The sequence below is a fragment of the Homo sapiens genome, chromosome 20 (assembly GCF_000001405.40).
Source record: "Homo sapiens chromosome 20, GRCh38.p14 Primary Assembly".
NCBI lineage: Eukaryota > Metazoa > Chordata > Mammalia > Primates > Hominidae > Homo > Homo sapiens.
This window is the reverse complement of record NC_000020.11, coordinates 3,261,881-3,285,319: the sequence shown is the minus strand read 5'-3', so window position 1 is coordinate 3,285,319 and position 23,439 is coordinate 3,261,881. Positions and strand designations below refer to the sequence as shown.

Below are 23,439 nucleotides of genomic sequence, written 5' to 3'. Positions count from 1 at the left end.
CCACCTCAGCCTCCCAAAGTGGTGGGAGTATGGGTGTGAGCCACCATGCCTGGCTTGGCTTTATTTTCATTTATAGCATTCTTTGGGGAAACATGTAATATAGGACAGAGATTTCTTTAGCCCCTAGAGTGGCCTGATGCCACTCAATTTAGTGAAGCGGTGGGGCAATAGAATTGAACTTTGACATCAAGTGGAGCTGTTAGTTGTTGTTTTAAAAATTGAATTTATGTATTTTAAAATGACAAAGTTTTAGAAATGGAGGACAGATTAGTGATTGACAGAGGTCAGAATGGGAGTGGAGGGCAGGAGGGAGGTGGGCATGTTTATAAAAGGGCAACACAAGGGATCCTTGTGTGTTGGAACTGTTTAGTATCCTGACCATGGTGATGGATATAAGAACCTACACAGGTGGTAAAATTGAATAGAACTTAATACACACACACACACATACACACACACAAATATAAGTAAAACTGGAAAAATCTGAATTTTAAAAAATTAATTTTAGAGAATTTGAGGGGCTGTATTTATACTCTGGAATATTATAAAATCATTCTTTAAAATTATCTGCATTAAAAACAAAATTTGAAATTAATGTAAAAACTTGTGCACACTCAGATTGTAGGCTTAAATTGCAAACATAAAACTGAGCCCAAAGGAGACTTGAATAGATTATCTGTTGTTTCAGAGAAAAGAAAGTTAAGGTCCTGCTGGGTTTTTGTTTAGTTTTTATTTTTAATAAAGAAAATACTGACAGAAAGCAAACGTGAAGAGACAGTTTTTTGCCTTCGTCATACAGTTGGGTCAGTTTAGCCAGAGTGGTCCGGTACAAGCTGTAGCCTGGCCACCATGGCTCACACATGTAATCCCAGCACTTTGGGAGGCCAAGGTGGGTGAATCACTTGAGCTCAGGAGTTTGAGAGCAGCCTGAGCAACATGAGGAAACCCTGTCTCTACCAAAAATACAAAAAATTAGCTGGGTGTGGTGGTGCACACCTGTGGTCACAGCTACTCAGGAGGCTGAGGCAGGAGGATCGCTTGAGCCTGGGAGGCAGAGTTTACTGTGAGCTGTGACCCTGCCACTGCACTCCAGCCTGGGCAACAGAGCAAGACTCTGTCTCAAAAAAAAAAAAAAAAAAAAAAAAAGACTCTAGTAACTTGAGCGTGGTGCTTCCTTCTGGGTAGGGGGTGCTCTTTCTGTCTGGAGGCCTCACCCAGGATGATTATGGGGCTGGGGAGGGAGGGAGGTTCTAACAGGGATTCCCCTAATGGATAGAGTGAATGGCCTGGGGCCTTCTCTCTTGAGGCAGTGCCCAGATGTATAGGCCTCATCAAGGAGACAGGGGCCTGTTTTTTACTCTAACCTTTTTCCATTAAAGTCAATGGAAATTAATGAAATGCTCTGAAAACCTAGAAATTCCCCAGGCACTCTCTCTAAGGGAAATCCTGTTATATTAAAATGACTCCTCAAGCATGACTTGTGAATCCTTTTCCGTTGTCCTTTGCTCCCCTAAGAAATGAGTCTCTACTGCTTACACTGAAGTCTCCTGTAGGCTGTTTTATGTTTGCAATTTAAGCCTACAATCTGAGTGAGCACATGTTTCACATTAACTGTAAGAGTTAAATCCATTAACTCCATTAAACACCACCACAGAGGGATGCAGAACAGCATGCACACGCCAGCCCTGCTTACCAGGCGTGCTTCTCTATGGGCCTGGCAGTGCGTGTTGTGGGTGGGACTCTCCTGGCATCCAGGCCCAGCCAGGCACTCAGTGGAAAGAGCCGCGTGTGGTCATACATACATGCCCAGGCAGGGGGAGAATCCCTGAAGAAGAGAAGGCTGTGAGCAGAGGGCTGTCAGGCCCCCCTGGGGGAACTCTTAGAACCTAGTAAACCCCGTTCTCTACTGAAGCACTGCCAGCTGATCAGGACTCAGGAGAACCTGGGGTGGGGTGGAGTATTGCAGTCTGGGGATAAAGCCAAGGGCCTTTTTACAGATGAGTTGTTCGTAGGAACTCAAGAACAACTCAAGCAGGCTGTACCTGTCCATACCACCACCACTGGCTTCCAAAGGGCTCAGGCTAAACCAGGCCCATCTGATCAGAAAAGCTGCCTGTTAGGTTTGACTTATTTCCATAGGAACAAACCTTTTGGTGATAGGCCGGATCAATCAGGAAAGAGTTCTCCTCTACAAGGTGAAGAGGCTAGGTCCCCTCTTGAAGTGGCCAGGGGCCTGCTCAGGGTTGAACATCCAGTTTATTCACCTACCCTGCTTTAGGCAGCAGAGATTACAGTACTCAACAACCACCTGACATTCTTATTATGGAGACAGTAAACAAATAAATGAGAAAATAGGGTATAAATAGCTGCCGATTGGGGCTTTGAAGAAACTTGGAGGAGGAGGTAGGGAATGCCAAGAAGCGAGGGTTGCTTGATCACACAGGGTGTATGAAGTCAGAGGATGCCTGTCCGTAAGATGCCGCCTGAGCAGAGACCTGAAGGGAGAGAGAACCACCCATGCAGATACCTGAGGAAAAGAACATTCCAGGCAGGGGGGCAAAGAATGCAGAGGTAGAAGTATGCCTGGCATGTTCAGAAAAGAGCCAGGAGACCAAAGTAGCTGGATTAGGGCAAGGGAAGTGATAGTAGATGAAATTCTTTGCTGCTCCATAGGGGGTCAGATCATAGAGGGCTGCCTGGGACATTGTAAGGGCTTTGGCTTTCACACAGAGTGAGATGGAAGCCACCAGCGGGTTTTGAGCAGAGAAATGACATGATCTGACTCTGGGTTTAGCATATCTCTCTGGCATCTGTGTTGAAAACAGATCAGAGAGAGGCAAGGACAGAAGCAGTGACAGCTGGGAGGCTGTTGGGGTGATCTAAGCAAGAGATTATAACAGTTTGGACCCAGTGGGAGCTTGGGGGTGTAAGCAGTGATCTCTTCTAGTTATATTTTGAAGACAGAAAAAAATGGAGTCAAAGGAGACCAAAAAAAATATATTTGAGCCTAGCATCTGAAAGAGTAGAGTCCATCTGCTGAAAAGGACAAGGAGTTTGGAGTTTGGAGAGAGTTCCAGGCAGGAGATACCAATGTGAGCTGTATTTGACATGGATGAGTCTGCTGACCTGGATGGGTCCGGACGCACTCTCTTGCCTGTGTGTTCTGAGAAGTGGGAAGGAGAGAAAGGAGCTACTAAAGAAAATAAGCAAGTGGCAGGAGCTCCTAACTTGATTAGAAAACAGGCCTAAGGACACTAGGTCCCACCCTCAGAGCTCCAGGATCGCCTGCAGGCTTCCTTTTACCTCCAGAGCAGGGTGGTTCTTCCCTCACTCTTGCCCAGTTATGAGGACTAATGGAACTTGGGAATGTAGAAACACTGTAGCTTCCAGGGGCTGCATGTCATGAAGTGGAGTGACACCAAGGGACCAGATTGCGGGCTCTTCCTTTTGGTTTTCTTTCCATCCTTGTTCAATCAGCCATTCGGGATTCCCCTCTTCCTCCACTTTGCAATGCCAGTCAGTGAACTAATCATTCCTTTTTTACCTTCCCCAGCTACACAGATGTTATTGATGTTGTCCAGGCCCTGCAGACCCACCCAGACTCAAATGTCAAGGCCTCCTTCACCATTGGTGCCATCACAGCATGTGTGGAGCCCATGAGCTGCTACATGGAGCACAGGTAGATACAGGATATGGTGTGTAAGTGTACTGAAAGTGATTTGTTTCCACCCACCAGAAGAAGACAGATCTTTTGGAATGCATTAGTCACCTTGTATGTAGTAAATGCTGTTCTTTTATTAGTGCTAGGTCCTCAATAGACCCCTTTGGACTTATAGCCAAAGAAGAGAGAGGAATTATGGAAGACAAGCTTAGCTTTTGTGAGGGAGAACTATTTCTGTTTAATAGTACATAGTAAGGACTTATGAAATACCTGCTAAATAAATGGGTGCTCCAACATGTGTGTACTAAATATTGTTAAAAAATAATTTAAGGCCAGGTGCGGTGGCTCATGCCTGTAATCCCAGCACTTTGGGAGGCCAAGGCAGGCAGATCACTTGAGGACAGGAGTTCGAGACCAGCCTGGCCAACATGACAAAATCCCATTTCTACTAAAAATACAAAAATTAACCAGGAGTGGTGGTGCACACTTGTAATCCCAGCTACTCAGGAGGCTGAGGCACGAAAATCGCTTGAACCCGGGAGGTGGAGGTTGCAGTGAGCTGCGATCGTGCCACTGCACCCCAGCCTGGGTGACAGAGCAAGCAAGACTCTGTCTCAAAAAAAAAATTTTTTTAATAAGGCGTAAAAGGACTGAAGTTGAGTATATAATCTATTTAAATATAGAAATAAGGCTAAAATTGGGTGAACATGATTATGGAATATAAGAATTTAAGTAACAAAATCAGGCAGGGCACAGTGGCTCATGCCTGTAATCTCAGCACACTTGGAAGATGGAAGGTTGGAGGATGCTTGAGCCCCGGAGTTCAAGAGCAGCCTGGGTAGCATAGTGAGACCCTGTCTCTGCCAAAAAAATAAATTAACCAGGTGTGGTAGTGAGCACCTGTAGTCCCAGCTACTTGGGAGGCTGAGGCTGGAGGATTGCTTGAGCCCAAGAGGTTGAGGCTGCAGTGAGCTGTGTTCATGCTACTGCACTCCAACCTGGGCAACAGTGAGACGCTATCTCAAAAAAAGGAGTTGACTTCCTTCACCAACTGAACAGTTGCTCCATTGTTTAAATTTTTTTTTTTTTCTTTGAGATGGAGTTTTGCTCTTGTTGCCCAGGTTGGAGTGCAGTGGCATGATCCCAGCTCACTGCAACCTCCGCCTCCCAGGTTCAAGCGATTTTCTTGCCTCAGCCTCCCGAGTAGCTGGGATTACAGGCATGCACCACCATGCCCGGCTAATTTTTTTGTATTTTTAGTAGAGACGGGGTTTCTCTGTGTTGGTCAGGCTGGTCTCGAACTTCCAACGTCAGGTGATCTGCCCATCTCAGCCTCCAAAAGTGCTGGGATTACAGGCTGTTTAAATTTTTTTAAGTAAAACTTTAAAGTAAGTAAAAGAATGCTTACTGTGTGGCAGCCTTCTGTGGACTGTGAGCACAGTGAAGTCAGTGAGTTCTATTCTTGGGAGACTCTGGTGTGGCTGTATCTTCCCTTGTTCCAGCCCCTTTGACCCTGCTTATAGCACATGGGTTTTCCTCCTTGGAATTCTTCAGAAACTATGAGGGAGTCAGGTAAGGGAACAGGATTCACAGCCCAACCTGGTATTCACCCAGCTCATCTACCAAATTTGGTTTCAAATGATGTGTGACTGGCTGTTGTCAGAAATCAAATAAAAGGATGAAGATTTGCTGCCACCAAGGAAATTCCAGGAGAGAAACTCCCCCAGTGTTGCGAACATCATTAATAACTGCCAGCTAGACCAGCAGCCATTCAGAAGAGTGGCTTCAGCTAGCATCCCAATTGCCAGGGAAGAAAACACAGGACCTCTGTGGTGCCAAACAGACCTGGGTCCCTGCCTTAGCCCTGCTGCCTCCCAGCTGCCTGTGAGACACTGGGCAAGCTTAGTGTGTTTAGCCGTCCTAAACCCATGCCTTTCATCTGTTAGATACCTGAGGCACAGAGCAGACAGGACGACAGAGCAAGATCATGTTTGTGAACTGCCTGCACAGTGCCTTGCCCACAGGAGGAACTCCATAAAAGGCAGCTATCCCCATTAGTGTTAGCTTTCTTCCTTGAGACAGGCCTTATGATGTTTTAGGAGTTCTGAAGTCCTGTGAGAATATGAGTTTTTCTCTGGAGCCTACTGCAGTGCTACAGTTGTTAAGTAACTCACACTTTGGATCAGTCACCCCCACCTCTTGCTTCACTTGTAATTCAGATGGTCAGTTTCCTGCTTTTCATTCACCTTTTGAGTTAAGAATGAGATTAAAGGAGAATTGAGGTTATAGCATGTACATAAAGAGAAGCATGGCAGCTTTGGTATTAAAGGCCCCTGGTAGAGTTAGATGAGTGTAATTCTTATTTTCCCTTGAAATATCCACTTTACTCAAAAACATATGTCTTTCAAAAAAGACCAGCTCTTTCTCCATCTCCCATAGACCAAAGAGCTGGTCCTGTCCCCAGTATCCCTCCTTCAGCATTCCACTTAGAATTGGCCATGTAGGGACTTCTGTGGGGCTCCTGGTGTGGGGAGCTTTGACGGAAAGCTGTAAAGTCCCATGGCTATCCTTAGTGCTCAGTGCTGCTGCCACCTGCCTCATCATGTGAGTCAATTTGCTTGTCAGTGGTACTCCTATTTGTATGGGAAATAATCAGTGACAACTCTGAGGTGAATGGTTTTTAAATATTTCCCCCTTTTTTCCCCCTAGATTTCTCTTTCCTAAATGTCTTGACCAGTGTTCACAAGGTAAGTAATATACTTTATTTTCAGCCTGCATGCCTTGCAAGTTCAGTAGAATTCAGCAATAGACTTTTCTTCGTGCTCTTACCTACCATTCTGAAATCTAAAGCAAACAAAATTGGTCAGAAAAAACTTTGACACCTTTACTTTTACCATATTTGATAGGCACATTTCTTCCAAGAGCTTGTCTCTTTTTTTTGAGACGGAGTCTTACTCTGTCGCCCAGATTGGAGTGCAATAGCGTGGTCTCGGCTCACTGCAACCTCTGCCTCCCAGGTTCAACTGATTCTCCTACCTCAGCCTCCCAAGTAGCTGGGATTACAAGCATGTACCACCACACCCAGCTAATTTTTGTATTTTTAGTAGAGATGGGGTTTCACCATGTTGGCCAGGCTGGTCTTGAACTCCTGACCTCGTAGTCCGCCCACCTCGGCCTCCCAAAGTGCTGGGATTACAGGCATGAGCCACGGCGCCTGGCCTGAGCTTGTCTCTTATGGCAACAAATTGCCACAGTAATACCTCTCCTTGAGCTGGGCTTAAGTCCACCTGGCATTCCAGCTAATACTAGTGGACTGAGTAGGTATTCCTAGCCTCTGGATCAGCAAGATCTTGATTCACTTCTGCCCCAAGAGTGCTGAGTTTGGCCCAGCGGGACCTGTCTTTCTTAATACCTCCCACCCCTATGCACCCTGGAATTTTCCGCATTTCCTTGATAACATTGAGAAAAATTCACCCATCCTGCAGGTTGCATTCAACCTTGCAGTGCCCTACTACCTGACAACCCTGGAAGCAGCACTTTCTAGTCATATTATCTGTGATGTTTGGAGGTCCAGAATAAATTCTGAATTCCCTGCAGTGGTGATGAAATGCTCATTGTTATCAGGAGACATGCCTGGGGTCTGGGCTTCCTGAGCTAGTCCAGCAAGCAGAAATCAGATGGAAGAAAACAACTCAGTGTCCCCAGCACAGTTTCATCCTGCTGATCGTATTGCCAGTCCGCAGGGAGCGGAGACAACAGAGCATACCAGAGTTGTTGTCTTGGGAAACAGCTGAGCTCATGCTGCCCAGGGCAGGAGGCTGGTCCCTGGAGGGAGGAATGTGTATGTTGGGCTGCTGTACCAGGTAGTCTCAGGTCCAGCTTTCAGAGGTCCCTGTTACTTTCTAGGCACTGCACCTCAGAAACAGGATGAAATGGAGATTGGGTAGGTCCATCCACAGTATCCACCCCAGGTAGATTAAGGAGATTTTGTGGAGGTTGGGTCAATAGGATCTGGTGACAGACTAGATGTGGGGCATGTGTTGGAAAAAGAGGTATCTAGGATGACTCCTAGGTTTCTAGCTTAGGAGATTAGGAAGGTTGGTGGTACCTGTCCTTCAAATAGAAAGCACAGGAGAAAACATAGGTCCAGGAGATAACCAAGGAGGGCTGTCTCATCCTAAGATACGTATTTGGAAGTCATGGTCAAAGTTAATGGCATGGACTGTAGTCAGCCAGTATCCAGATATAGAGTTGAAAAGATCAGAAGGCTAGAGATGGGGTGAGGGTGGAGGTTCCAGGACACCGAAAGAGAAGCAGGGAAGAGTGTTGCCTGAGACATTGAGGAAGGAGAAAAAGAGATCCACGATGTCTAATGCTGCAGAGACCTTGAGGGAAGAACAGAGAAAAGCCCACTGGCTCTGTAAGTGAGAAGGACCCTGATGACCTGAGTAGGAGGATCTGAGTGGAGAGGTGAGGGCTGAAGCCAGCTCCAAGTGGGCCAGTGGTCAAGTGAGATACTGGAAGCCAGCAGGTGCAGATGATATTCTAGAGTGCTTGGGGCTGTAAAAAGGAAGATGGCTAGAGAATACTTCCAAGAATTGTCATTTCTTAATGATCAGTTCCTCCTTATTTGCTGCTGAGAAAGCCTGTGGGCTGCAAGGAGATACTAGGTTTGATAGAGGGGACCCCTGAGAAGGAAGGGGTAGGGTCCAGAGCCCAAGTGAAGATTGACTCAGAGAAGCAGTGTCCTTGAGAAGAGCTTTAGTTGGAAGCAGGTGAAGTTGAGGAAGTGTTTGCCTAGGGGGCAGTATTGACTATCAGATGGTGTGCCTAGGACTTGCTGACCTGTCCAGCCTCAGGCCTGCCTTGTTCTTGTAAATGCTGGAGCCTTCTTTTCCTTTCAGAGCCCCTTGTCCACCGTGTGATGATTGGCACCCTAGTGCACCTCAGCTCCTTGGCATTCTCCCTCAGTGTCCCTCTTCTTTTTTGCATGAGGAACAAGCACAGATGGTGGGGCTTCCCTGGCAGAGAGCCTTGGGGAAGTGTTCTGTTTTCATCATTGAATCAGGGGCAGCCCTGGGCTTGTCTCACAAGAGAAAAGCCCCTTTTAGTCTGAACCCTTTGAGGCCAAAACAGACTGTTCTCTCTGGCATTTGGTAGGCATGTTTCATTTATACTGCCTTCCAACTCATTGTGCAAAGACAATGTGTGTTAAACTCTGTGCTTGTGTAGAGCTAGGGGTGTGATCAGATGTGGGCTGATCACCTTCAGGCCACATATGCTGTTTTCGGAACTCCTCCAAGGGGCTCATGGAGTGACACTGCCTTGCTTCTGGGCCCATGGGACCCTGTGGACTGGCCTGACCAGGCTTGCCATGGGCATGGGCTGTCTGGGGAGGGAGGAGATAAAAGGCAAGTATTTCTTTTCTCCTAGGAGATTTGGTAGCTGGCTTGGAGGTGGGATCTGCCAGCAGTAGACAAATACTTCATGTCCTAAGGGAGCATATTTCCTCCCTTTGCTCCTGTTCATGAGTCAGGCTACCCGATTCATAAGAGATTATTTTCCAGTTAGAAAAGGACTATGTTGCAGCCCCAAGACAATGTGTATTATAGAAATCAAAGGACTAAGAAATAATCTCAGTGCTTAAACAGCAAGTAAGACTCATTATAATGCTGGTGTGAGAGCAAAGTGGAGATACTTTACTGTCATGGCCTGCTTTTAAAAGCATCTGTAGATAGAAGAAGTCACCTTTGTTTTCTGCTGGGCTTCTGGAATACTTTAGCCCAGACTGGGATGGTCAGCCAGACAATAGGGATGTTTCTCTGCTCTTGGGAATAGGATACGCCAGGCTGTCTGCTCGCTCACAGCCCAGACTGGTGAGACCTTGGCCAAATCTGGCTGTCCACTCCTTGATACAGAACAGAAGGAAGCTCCTGGCCCAAACAAGGTGGAACCGCTCACTATGGCCTGTTCACCCTGTGCTCCAGATAACTGCTGTACCTGCCTCACAGATGGCATTTCCTCTTGGCAGGTGGCAGTTTACATAGCTGGCCTAAGGAATGCTGGGGATAATCCTCTTGCTTGTTTCCCTATAAAGCAAAGCCCCTTTTCTGTGCCCAGTTCCTGACCTAGAATCCCAACCCCACAAGCTTTGTCCATATGGTACATGTGCAGCAGACAGGACTTTGTACAAGTTGTGTCTGTCAGAGACCCAGATCCCAGCCTTTTCTTGGGCAGGCCAGGCCTGTGCTTGTGACCCTGGTGCACCACCGTTCATATGGCCACATTTGCACTAGTCTGACACTTTGGTTTCTTTTGCCCAAGAAGATACCAAACAGAGTCCTAGGGTATTTATAGATCTTCCCTCAACCTTTGCTGGCTCTTCACTGCCAGACCCGCCAGAGCTCTTCTTGCCTTCCACCCTGGGAATCTGGCAGGCCCTTTGTAGGATATGGCTTCCATGTCTGCCATCTCTAGAATGTGCTGAGGCTTCTGAGATCCTGCTTGCCTCCCCACTGTGCCACATTTTGGACTTGGCCTCCTGACTTTGCCTTACTCAGTTTCCAGAGGCCCTACTTTCTGTGGCTGCACCAGGGCATGGGATTCTGGCATCAAGCTTTCCAGGCTGGCTTTGCTGCCTCATCTGCAGCCTCCAGAGTGCACTGCAGAGTGACCTTTCCAAATGGCCATGCGAACACAGGTACCAAAGACTAGAGGCAGGGGACCAGGGGTCCTGGAATCTGCCTTCAAACTATTCCTTGCCCCCCATCTAAACCACGAGTGTAGCTGCCTTGGCTTGTGGAAATTGTATGACTTAGTTTCCCAGTGGTTGATATGGCCAAGACCCAATGCCACAGCCACTGACAGGCCCCTCTATGTACAGGGAGAAGTCTAATTCTCAGGCTGATGCTCAATTGACAGTGCTGATGGTGGTAGTGGTGGAAATGATAGATTGTATTTCATGGATTCTTACTCTCTGTAGGCCCTATGATAAGCCTAGGTTTTATTGATAACCTAGAGTGATGTGTTACGGTTCCCATCTTACAGAGGAGGATATTTGGTTTCAGAGAGAAAGTAGAGCAATTTGTCTAGTATCACCCATTAGTAATTAGCGGAACTCAAAATTCAAACTCAGGTTCACCTGGCTCTAAATGCCTTAGTCTTTACATTATGGTAGCTTTTCCCATAGAGGAAGAAGATAAATAATCTAAGTCCAGGCCAGGCGCAGTGGCTCACACCTGCATTCCCAGCACTTTGGGAGGCCAAGGCAGGTGGATCACCTGAGGTCAGGAGTTTAAGACCAGCCTGGCCAACATGGTGAAACCCCATCTCTACTAAAAATACAAAAATTAGACGGGTGCAGTGGTGTGCGCCTGTAATTCCAGCTACTCAGGAGGATGAGGCAGGAGAATCACTTGAACCCGGGACATGGAGGTTGCAACCAGCCGAGATCACACCACTACACTGCAGCCTGGGTGACCCAGTGAGACTCTGTCTCAAAAAAAATAAAAATAAAAATAAAGAATATAAGTCCTGTGTTTTAAGTGCCACCTGTGTTATTCAAAAGAACTTTTTTTCTTTTTTTTTAGTTCAGAGAAGGGGAGAGAGCAGGGTGGCATGAGGGGAGGACTAGGATGATAAAATGTTAAGAAAGATTTGAAGGAAGATGTAAGCTTTACCAAAATTAAAAAGTAAAGGGAGTAAGTGGGGGGAAAAGGTGCAGAACAGTGTAATGTGTCACTACTTGTGGAAAAAATTATACTCAACACTTTTGTATATACTCAGCAGATCTTCTGGAAGAAGAGGTAAGAATCTGATAACTGCAGTTGCCTCCAGGGCAGGGAATTTAGGTGTCTGGACAGGAAAGGAATTATTTTATTTTCTTTGTGAACACTTCTGATATAAATTAGATGTTTGTCCCCTCCAAATCTCATGTTGAAACATAATCCCCAGTGTTGAAAGTGGGGCCTAGTGGGAGGTGTTTGGGTCATGGGGGCAGATCCCTCATGAATGGCTTGGTGCTGTCCTTGTGATAGTGAGTGAGTTCTTACTCTTGAGTTCACAGGAGACCTGGCTGTTTAAAGGAGTGTGGCACCTCCCCCGCCCCTTCTTGCTCCTGCCCTCACCACTGTGATATGCTGGCTCCCAGGCCTTCTACCATGATCTTAAGCTTCCTGAGGCCTCCCCAGAAGCCGATGCCAGCGCCACGCTTCCTGGAAAGCCTGCAGAACCTTTAGCCAATTAAGCTAAAGGTTCTTTATAAATTAGTCAGCCTCAGGTATTTCTTTACAGCAACCCCAAAACAGCCTGACACACTTTCTATATGTTCTGAGTTTCGCCCTCAATAACTGAATACAGCTAATTTTTTTAACTTAACACTTGACTGAAGTAAATAGTATCAGTATAGAGTGTTCATTACTGAATATTCATTACTTAGGATTCTGCAGTTACAAGGTCACTTAGGAAAGCAGAAATCTCCATAATTTAGAGATATTCACTTAAGAACTATTCATTTATAAACCTACTCTCACCGGGCGCGATGGCTCACGTCTGTAATCACGGCACTTTGGGAGGCCGAGGCGGGTGGATCACCTGAGGTCAGGAGTTCGAGACCAGCCTGACCAACATGGAGAAACTCCATCTCTGCTAAAAAATATAAAATTAGCCCGGCATGATGGTGCATGCCTGTAATCCCAGCTACTCGGGAGGCCGGGAGTCTGAGGCAGGGGAATCACTTGAACCCAGGAGGCGGAGGTTGTGGTGAGCTGAGATTGCACCATTGCACTCCAGCCAGGGCAACAAGAGCGAAACTCCATCTCAAGAAATAATAATAATAAAAAAATAATTAAACTACTCTCTATTAGTAAATGGGTTGATGATGAGCATTGAATCTTTTTTAAGTATAGAATTATAACACCTGTGAGAATTCTATTACAAAATAGAATATAAATGTTGAAAGCCTATCTATGAAATTATATTTTACAAAAAATTGGCAGAGGAGAGATACTCTTTACATCTTTCAGAATGGGAGATTGATAAAGTTTAAAGCTATTAAATCAAGTTATAAAGGGTTAAGTATACTCTTTAAAGATATAAAAGTGACCACTAGAGGAACTGAAAATCCTAATGAAGCTGGGTGCCGTGGCTCACGCCCGTAATCCCAGCACTTTAGAGGAGGCCAAGGCATGAGGATCACTTGAGCCCAGGAGTTTGAGACCAGTCTGGGCAACAAAATGAGACCCAGTGTCTAAAAAAAATAAAAAAATTAGCCAAGCATGGTGGCACGCACACCTGTGGTCCCAGCTACACAGGAGGCTGAGGCAGGAGGATTGCTTGAGCCCAGGAGGTCAATGCTTCAGTGAGCCACTGAATATATAAATATATATAATATGTAGACTTCCTTTGGTTCCTGATTCAAAAATTATTAACTGAGAAAACATTTATAAGACAGAGAAATTTGAACACAGACTGGATTTTTTTATATTAAGGAGTTCATTGTTAATATGTTTAGAGTCCTTATATTATGGAAATTCACGTTGAAGTATTTTTGTTTGAAATAATTGGGTATCTGGGATTGACTTCAAAATCATACAGTAGGGGAGCCGGGGATGAGCTGGGTGGAGTGTAGATGAAATACGATTAGCTGAGTGTTGGTAGTTCCTGAAACCAGGTGATGGGAGTTCATTCTACTATTTTTCTAGTTGTGTATGTTTGAAATTTTCTACGATATTAAGAAGTACAGCTGGGTGCGGTGGCTCACACCTGTAATCCCAGCACTTTGGGAGGCCGAGGCAGGCAGATCACGAGGTCGGGAGTTCGAGACCAGCCTGACCAACATGGAGAAACCCCATCTCTACTAAAAATACAAAATAAGCTGGGCATGGTGGCGCGCACCAGTAATCCCAGCTACTTAGGAGGCTGAGGCAGGAGAATTACTTGAACATGGGAGGTGGAGACTGTAGTGAGCTGAGATTGCAACATTGCACTCCAACCTGGACAACAAGAGTGAAACTCCGTCTCAAAAAAAAAAAAAGAAGAAGTAAATAAAAATTATTGAATAACAAAAATGCAAAATGAATAATCTTATATATGCGCTATGATTATAACTGTTAAAATAGGAATGAATATGGAAGGGGTATTATAATTATCTTGGGGTGGTGAAGTGTGGTAAGTTTCCTGATCTCCAAATTCTCTGTGGTCCTGTGAATTTTACTTCTGTATTTTCACCAAAAGGTTGGGAGTGATCATGGCCCACCCTGCAACCTCTTCTTACATGGGCCACCCTTTCTTACCACGTGACTAAAATCTGTTAGCATTTATCTTGGAATCATGTGGCTCCCTGTGCACAGTATCTTGGCAGTGCACTCTTTGAGGATATAATGAATAACCCCTGTTATATGGTGAGTTTTTGATAATTGTGTTGTTCTGAACTGGTGAAGGTAAATGGCACCAGTTCCTGATGATGCTAAATACAGGATGTGTGAAAAGGCCCTTTGACTAAGAATTCCAAGTATCAGCTAGATACCAGAATTAAAATAATAGAGGAGGCCGGGTGCAATGGCTCATGTCTGTAATCCCAGCACTTTGGGAGGCTGAGGTGGGCTGATCACCTGAGGTCAGGAGTTCAAGACCAGCCTAGCCAACATGGTGAAACCCCGTCTCTACTAAAAATACAAAAATTAGCCAGGCATGGTTGCGGGTTCCTGTAATTCCTGCTACTCAAGAGGCTGAGGCAGGAGAATTGCTTGAACCCTGGAGGCTGAGGTTGCAGTAAGCTGAGATCGCACCACTGCACTCCAGCCTGGGCAACAGAGTGAGACACCGTCTTAAAAAAAAAAAAAAAAAAGATAGAGGAAGTTAGGGGTTAGGTAGTAAGGCAGCTACAGACTTGAAGCTATTCATTCCAAGAGGTGGCAGTGCCGGGAAGTGGGAAGAGAATGATAGCTGTTTATGTTGGTATTGGGGTGTAAGGGTTGTCTCCATCAGGAGACTACTGGAAGGCATGATTAGGGGATGGAGCAAGGGCTCACGTTTGTGTGAGCCTTCACCCCTAACCAGGACTGTGAAGGCTAAACTGTCCTTGGTTTTATTCCCAGGCCTGGTGAGTAACGTGGTATTCACCAGTCACACCACGGAGCAGCGGCACCCTCTCCTTGTTCAGCTGCAGAGCCTCATCAGGGCTGCCAATCCTGCTGCAGCCTTCATTCTTGCAGAAAATGGGATTGTCACCAGGTAATCTATAGATTCACTCTGCAAGACCAGTTGCTTTCTCAGATACAGCACTCTGTCTGTGGCCCACAGAGTCTTTCTACTGTATCTAAGACCTAAACATTTGGAGAAGTCAGTTTTTGAGCCAGGTGCGGTGGCACGCACCTATAGTCCCAGCTACTCGGGAGGCTGAGAAGGGAGGATCACTTGAATCCAGGAATTGGAGGCTGCAGTGAGCAATGATTGTGTCAGTGCATTCCACAGCCTGAGAGACAGAGCAAGACCCCATCTCTTTAAAAAAAAAAAAAAAAAAAGCAGGCTGGGCACAATGGCTCGTGCCTGTAATCTCAGCATTTTGGGTGGCTGAGGTGGGAGGATCTTGAGTCAGGAGTTTGAGACCAGCCTGGACAATATAGTGATACTCCATCTCGAAAAAGAAAAAATATATTGGAAAAAGAAAAAAAACAGTTTTTGAAGTGTTTTTTTTTTTTTTGAGACGGAGTCTCCCTCTGTCGTCCAGGCTGGAGTGCAGTGGCGCGATCTCGGCTCACTGCAAGCTCCGCCTCCCAGGTTCACGCCATTCTCCTGCCTCAGCCTCCTGAGTAGCTGGGACTACAGGCGCCCGCCACCACGCCCGGCTAATTTTGTTTTTGTATTTTTAGTAGAGACGGGGTTTCACCATGTTAGCCAGGATGGTCTCAATCTCCTGACCTTGTGTTCCGCCTGCCTCGGCCTCCCAAAGTGCTGGGATTACAGGCGTGAGGCACCACGCCTGGCCGAAGTGCTTTAGATGCTCTGTAAAAATCACCAAGAAGACCCCATCGTGTACCATTTTGAGGCATTTTGTTTTGATCCATTCACATTCTCATCCATTGAAGGATGGTAGCCAAGATTCTCTTAACATCCTTGTATTAAAGTGTGAAAGAAATGGCATAGAGAACGTAGAGAAGGGTCGGATGTGATGGCTCAACCTGTAATCCCAGCACTTAGGGAGCCCAAAACTCCTTGCAGGAGTTCAAGACCAGCCTGGGTAAAATAGTGACACTCTGTCTCTACCAAAACAGTTTTTTAAAAAAACAGCCAGCATGGTTGTGCATGTCTGTAGTCTCAGCTACTCAGGAGGCTGGGCAGGAGGATTGCCTGAGCCCAGGAGTTTAGGGTTATACTGAGCCATGATCACACCATTGCACTCCAGCCTGAGCGAAGTAGTGAGACTTTGTCTATTAAAAAAAAAAAAAAAAAGTGGCCGGGTGCAGTGGCTCACGCCTGTAATCCCAACACTTTGGGAGGCCAAGGCAGGCGGATCACAAGGTCAGGAGATTGAGACCATCCTTGTTAACACGGTGGAACCCCGCCTCTATATTTAAAAAAATACAGAAATTAGCCAGGTGTGGTGGCAGGCACCTGTAGCCCCAGCTACTTGGGAGGCTGAGGGAGGAGAACGGCGTGAACCTGGGAGGCAGAGCTTGCAGTGAGCCAAGACCGCACCACTGCACTCCAGCCAGCCTGGGCAACAGAGCCTCTGTCTCAAAAAAAAAAAAAAAAAAAAAAAAGTAACATAGAGATATTATCTCTTTACTTCATGGACTTGGGTTCAAATTACAAACTAAAAATAGAGAATTAGTGATTTTGTTTGTGTACACACATATACGAGGAGAAAACACCTGGTTATATAGCTGTTTTGTTTGCTCAATTCAGATAAAAGGTTATATACCTTTTTAATGTAGTTTTGACTTTTGAACTATGTAGATATTTTATGTATTCAAAAATTAAATAAAGGAGGGAAAAAACTAAATTAAATACAAACCAAAAAAAGCGAATCTAGGCTGGGTGCAGTGGCTCACGCCTGTAATCCCAGCACTTTGGGAGGCCAAGGCAGGCAGATCACGAAGTCAGGAGTTCGAGACCAGCCCTACCAACATGGTGAAACCCTGTCTCTACTAAAAATACAAAACTTAGCTGGGCATGGTGGCGCATGCCTATAATCCCAGCTACTCAGGAGACTGAGGCAAGAGAATCGCTTAAACCCAGGAGGCAGAGGTTGCAGTGAGCCAAGATCGTACCATTGCACTCCAGGTGGGCGACAAAGAGAAACTCCATCTCAAAAAAAAAAAGGGGCCGGGCACAGTGATTCATGCCTGTAATCCCAACACTTTGGGAGGGCGAGGCGGGCGTATCACCTGAGGTCAGGAGTTCAAGACCAGCCCAGCCTGGCCAACATGGCGAAACCCCGCCTCTACTAAAAATACAAAAAATTGGCCAGGCGTGGTGCCAGGCACCTGTAATCCCAGCTACTCAGGAGGCTGAGGCAGGAGAATTGATTGAACCTGGGAGGCGGAGGTTGCAGTGAGCCAAGATCATGCCATTGCACTCCAGCCTGGGCAACAAGAATGAAACTCCATCTCAAAATTAAAAAAAAAAAAAAAAAGTAAACCTATCTGTATATCAAAGTAATAACAGCCACACCAAGAAAAGTATTTAATTCAAGTAACTTTTGAACATAATCCTCTGCTGGAACCCTGGTTCTAAACAACATCACTGATTGAAGAGAGGAGATTATGAATATGAAATGGGGAAGATGAAGAAAAACCCTTCAAATATTTATTTTATTTTATTTAGACAGAGTCTTGCTCTGTCACCCAGGCTGGAGTGCCGTGACACGATCTCAGCTCACTGCAACCTCCACCTCCTGGATTCAAGTGATTCTCTTGCCCCAGCCTCCCTAGTAGCTGGGATTACAAGTGCATACCACCATACCAGACTAATTTTTCTATTTTTAGTAGTGGCAGGGTTTCACCATGTTGGCCAGGCTGGTGTTGAACTCCTGGCCTCAAGTGATCCACCCACCTCGGCCTCCCAAAGATCAAATGTTGATTTGAATTGGAGATTCAATATAAATTCATTATTTTTAAAAATGTATATTTCCTACCATTTTCCTTTGAAAGGGACCAGAATAGTAATACCACAGTTGCAGCAAATACCCTTACCTCTGTATCTTGGTTTCTAAGTACCAGTCCCCACTACAAGGTACCAGGACTCCTTGGAGAATTAGCTGACTGCATGCCTAGGTCAAGGAAAGTACAAGGTGAGCCTGGTCCATTTTATGCCAATAAAGCAAGGAAGTACTCAAAGATTAGTGGAGATGTGTCAAAAGGATATGGGAAGTAGCTTAAGAAGTTCCTGCTAGTCTAATTTGGGACAATTTGGGGATAAGAAAGAACCATGATAATACTGGAACTATGAATTATAACACATGGAATAAAATGTGTGTCCACAGTGATCCTCAAAAACAAAGGTGGGGCCAGGCACGGTGGCTCACACCTGTAATCCCAGCACTTTGGGAGGCCGAGGCAGGCAGATCACCTGAGGTCGGGAGTTCGAAATCAGCCTGACCAATATGGCAAAACCCCATCTCTATTAAAAATATAAAATTAGCCGGGCATGGTAGTGCATGCCTGTGATTCCAGTTACTCAGGAGGCTGAGGCAGGAGAATGGCTTGAACCCAGGAGGCGGAGCTTGCAGTGAGCCGAGATTGCGCCATTGCACTCTAGCCTAGGCAACAAGAGCGAAACTCCATCTCAAAAAAAAAAAAAAGGTGGAAGGGGGCAGGATAGCAAAGCCCTTTATAGAAGAATACCAAGTAAATAAGGTTTGATAGAACTAGAAAATAATCAGCCGAGCATGGTGGCTCAGGCCAGTAATCCCAGCACTTTGGGAGGCTGAGGCGGGCAGATCACAAGGTCAGGAGATCGAGACCATCCTGGCCAACACGGTGAAACCCCATCTCTACTAAAAATACAAAAAATAAGCCGGGCATGGTGGCGGGCACCTGTAGTCCCAGCTACTCAGGAGGCTGAGGCAGGAGAATGGCGTAAACCTGGGAGGCGGAGCTTGCAGTGGGCCGAGACCGCGCCACTGCACTCCAGCCTGGGCAACAGAGCAAGACTCCATCTCAACCATCTCAAAAAAACAAAAACAAAAGAACTAGAAAATAATCATTTTGTAACCTTCAGTCTAATACAGTATTTGATTTAGGGAACGATCAATGAATGCTAAAAGCACTAGGTGAAAGACTGTTGAAGAAAAAAAATATTACTAGTCCTGTACTGTGTAAAGTACCACTCCATAGACTACTGACTCCTTACAAAGAGGGAAAAATACCTTACAATGGAAAGGTCTGGTATACCTATGTTGAACAAACGATTAAACTCAGTGAGACCAGTAATGGGACAAACTGATACCCTGTACCTCCTTGATGTGATGCAGTGGGAAGGATGCAACACCACCTGGGTATTAATCTCAAAATATGCATAACCTGAATCTAATTATGAGAATTAGAAACAGACAAATCCAAGTGTGGGACACAAAAGCTCTGACATGTACTCTCAAATATCAACACCATGAGAATCAAACCAACCAAAAGATAGAGGAACTGTTCCAGGTTAAAGGAGAATAAAGATGATAAATTTAGGCCGGGTGCAGTGACTCACGCCTGTAATCCCAACGCTTTAGGAGGCTGAGGCAGGCGGATCACCTGGGGTCAGGAGTTCAAGATCAGCCTGGCCAACATGGCGAAACCCTGTCTCTATTTAAAAAATACAAAAATTAGCAGGGCGTGGTGGTGGGTGCCTGTAGTCCCAGCTACTTGGGAGGCTGAGGCAGGAGAATCGCTTGAACTCAGGAGGCGGAGGTTGCAGTGAGACGAGATCACGCCATTTCACTCCAGCCTGGGCAACAAGAGCGAAACTCTGTCTCAAAATTAAAAAAAAAAAAAAGGAATGTATCTGTATATCAAAGTAATAACAACCACACCAAAAAAAGTATTTAATTCAAGTAACTTTTGAACATAGTCTTTTTTTTTTTTTTTTTTTTTCTGAGACAGAGTCTCACTCTGTCACCCAGGCTGGAGTGCAGTGGCGTGATCTCGTCTCACTGCAACCTCCACCTCTCCACCTCCTGGGTTCAAGTGATTCTCCTGCCTCGGCCTCCTAAGTAGCTGGGACTACAGGCGCGTGCCACCACGCCCAGCTAATTTTTGTATTTTTTTAGTAGAGATGGGGTTTCGCCATGTTGGCCAGGCTGGTCTTGAACTCCTGACCCCAGGTGATCCGCCTGCCTCGGCCTCCCAAAGTGCTGGGATTACAGACATGAGCCATCGCGCCCGGCCTAATGAATGATTCTTGATTGGATCGTGGACCCTCCCCCACCAAAAAGGGGAAATTTGAAAGTGGATGTATGTTCATGCTTCTCCAGCTTTGTGGTGCATATGCATCTCTAGTGGAGATCTTGTTGAAAATTAGTTTCTGGTTCAGTACATCTGGGCTGGGGGCTGAGGTTCTGCATTTCTAACAAGCTCCCAGGTGATTGCTGGGAGCCAGTAAATTCCTTGGATGTGATCATGATATCGTAGTTCTGTAAGAGAATGTCCTTGTTCTTGGGAGATGCATACTGAAGTATTTAGGGGTAAAATATCATGATGAGTACAGCTAATTTTCATTTGGTTTGGCAGAAAAAAACAAAAATGCTTGTATGTATTTAGGGGACATGAAGAATAAACAAAACGTGCAGGTAAAGTCAGTCCTGGCCGGGCTCGGTGGCTCATGCCTGTAATCCCAACACTTTGGGAGGCCGAGGCAGGCGGATCATGAGGTCAGGAGATTGAGACGATCCTGGCCAACATGGTGAAACCCCGTCCCTACTGAAAGTACAAAAATTACCTGGGTATGATGGCACATGCCTGTAGTCCCCGCTACTCAGGAGGCTGAGGCAGGAGAATCACTTGAACCCGGGAAGCGGAGGTTGCAATGAGCCAAGATTGCACCACTGCACTCCAGCCTGGCGACAGAGCGAGACTCCGTCTCAAGAAAAAAAAAAAAGAGATTGACAGTCCTAATTAATCTAGGTCTTTTCTGTGTGTTTTCAAAGGAATGAAGACATTGAGCTGATTCTCTCAGAAAACAGTTTTTCAAGTCCTGAGATGCTACGATCTCGATATTTAATGTATCCTGGCTGGCAAGTATCATCATTGAAAAATAACTAAGATTTTTTTGTAAACCCAATGATTTATTTATTTACAGAAAAAAAAAAAGAGAGAAGGTGAAAATACCAGATGTGCTTTGCAAGGGTGACACATGGCAGCTGGCACGGCCTGCCTGTCCGGCAGCTGCTGGCCTTGCCAGGAGCCCAGTGCTCCACCTCTTGGGCTCCAAACTGCGAGCCTTCTTAGATGTTTCAATTTAGGGAATCATCCTGTAGGCAGCAAGCACCGCTGTGCCCTGTGTTCCTCCAGCCCCTACTGAGGGCAAAGTGCCTGGCACAGAACCAAGGAGCTATAACTTTCCCAGGTGAGACTCGCTTCTGACAATACCGTCAGTCAGTCCTCTAGGGTTCCCATCTGCTGGGTTCCCTGCTCATATGGCCCAGGGAATGTTCTCTGTAGGATGCTGCACAGCCTGTGGACCTCTCCAGAGGAGAAGAGGACAAAGGAGAGAGTGTGCTGCAAAGTTACTGTAATCATACTAATACCAACACGCTGGAACATTTACTGTGTGTGCTAGCTATTGTTCAAAGACTCCACTCTCTATATGGCAGCTCCTAGCCACATGGCTATTTAATGAAATGTAAATTAATAAAAATCAAAATTTATAATTCAGTCTTTCAGCCACACAGCCACATTTCAAGTGCTTCATAGCTTCCTGTGGCTGGCAGCTACCGTGTCCAACAGTGCAGATCTAGAACATTTCCATTGCCCCAGAAGGCTCTGTTGAACAGTGCTGTTGTGAGAGCTTTGTTTGTGTTGTCTCATTTACACCAATCCTGTGAAGTGGATTCCGTTATTTTATCATTTTACAGATAAGGTACCAGGGGCAGCAAAGAGTTAATGACTTGACAATTTATAGCTTAGTAGATGAAAGAACTGGATTTCAAACCCAGGTTGAATGGCTCAGAGCTTTTTCTCTTAGGCATCGTGCTACACTTATTCCTGTATAGCATGGACAATTTGTTTCTGCTCTGTTGAAGGTTTAGGGGAAGACATTGTTAAAGCTTGGCCAGAATTAATCTCTCATGTTTATTTGGATTATCTTTGTTATTCTTACTCACTTTTCCCAAGCACCTCTCTACATCCTCCATACCACCCCTTACACCACCAACTTTTTTCGTAACAAAAAATGATCTGGCCAGGCTTGGTGGCTCACGCCTGTAATCCCAGCACTTTGGGATGCCGAGGCGGGCAGATCACAAGGTCAGAAGATCGAGACCATCCTGGCTAACGTGGTGAAACCCCATCTCTACTGAAAATACAAAAAATTAGCCAGGTGTGGTGGTGGATGCCTGTAGTCCCAGCTACTTGGGAGGCTGAGGCAGGAGAATGGTGTGAAGCTGGGAGGTGGAGCTTGCAGTGAGCTGAGATCACGCCACTGCACTCCAGCTTGGGCGACAGAGCGAGACTCCGTCTCAAAAAAAAAAAAAAAAAAAAAAAAAAAGATCTGCTATGCTGTAAAAAACAAAACCAAAAAAATCCCAGAGGGTCAGTATGTAAAATTAAATGTTTTCAGGCATATTCTTAGAAGGAATCTCTGATTTGAATCATGTCATACTTAAACAGTGAGTAAGTGGGTCATTTCTTATGTCTGAACAAGATAATGATATCTTAGCTAAAAATAAACAAATGGAGCTTCTGGGGGAACCTTCTTTCCAGTGGCTACAGCCACTGACTCTCTTGCTGCCTGAACCTCTGGGTCATGAGGCTCCTGTAATCACCACCAGGTGCCTAGAGAAGTGCTGTTCTCCAGTCCTTACTGACTCATACACAAGAAGCTAGCTCAGGGCCCAGACACCTGGAGGCAGACTAATCCAGGAGAGAGTAGGGTAAGAGGGGCCCATTAGAAGACTGTGAATCTGGCCGGATGTGGTGGCTCACACCTGTAATCCCAGCACTTTGGGAGGCCAAGGCAGGTGGACCATGAGGTCAGGAGTTCGAGATCAGCCTGGCCAACATGGTGAAACCCCGTCTCTATTAAAAATACAAAAGTTAGCCGGGCATGGTGGCAGGCACCTGTAGTCCCAGCTACTTGGGAGGCTGAGGCAGGAGAATGGCGTGAACCCGGGAGGCGAAGCTTGCAGCAAGCCAAGATCGCACCACTGCACTCCAGCCTGGGCAACAAGAGCAAAACTCCGTGTCAAAAAAAAAAAAAAAAAAAGAATGTGAACTTTTTCCTCATCAGGAAGATCAGTCCTTATAGAGAATCAGAGATGGAGGGACCCCAAAATTCTCTTTCAGGCCCCCTCCTAAGTCCATTTCTAGGAATCAGATAATTTCATCTTTAACAAGATGGCAGTCATCAGTCTCCTACTCATCTCTATATATTACTCCCCTCTCACGTGGGTCAGAGCCACCACCTCAGAGTGAATGGGCTTTAGTTCCAGGATATGCTCCGCTCTGTGCTGTGCACACATTCTCTGCCACTTCCCTCCCACATCCTTCTCTGTTCGCATCCACCCTCCTTCCACATTTTCTGGTAGAACAGCTTGTTTCTAGTTTGGGCAGAAACCTTGCTGCCTTCCCTTA

At 45.9% G+C, this 23,439-nt stretch overlaps 1 protein-coding gene across 4 annotated transcripts in view; it reads left to right on the top strand.

The window, feature by feature from the left end:
• DNAAF9 (dynein axonemal assembly factor 9) overlaps positions 1–23,439 on the top strand; it is a 158,364-nt gene that overhangs the window by 122,350 nt on the left and 12,575 nt on the right. For all 4 annotated transcript variants that reach the window (XM_005260684.5, NM_001009984.3, XM_011529208.4 and 1 more), the window contains 4 exons: positions 3,554–3,679; positions 6,371–6,408; positions 14,758–14,893; positions 20,796–20,882. In XM_005260684.5, coding sequence (XP_005260741.1) covers positions 3,554–3,679; positions 6,371–6,408; positions 14,758–14,893; positions 20,796–20,882 — 387 coding nt within the window. The remainder of the gene's footprint in view (positions 1–3,553; positions 3,680–6,370; positions 6,409–14,757; positions 14,894–20,795; positions 20,883–23,439) is intronic.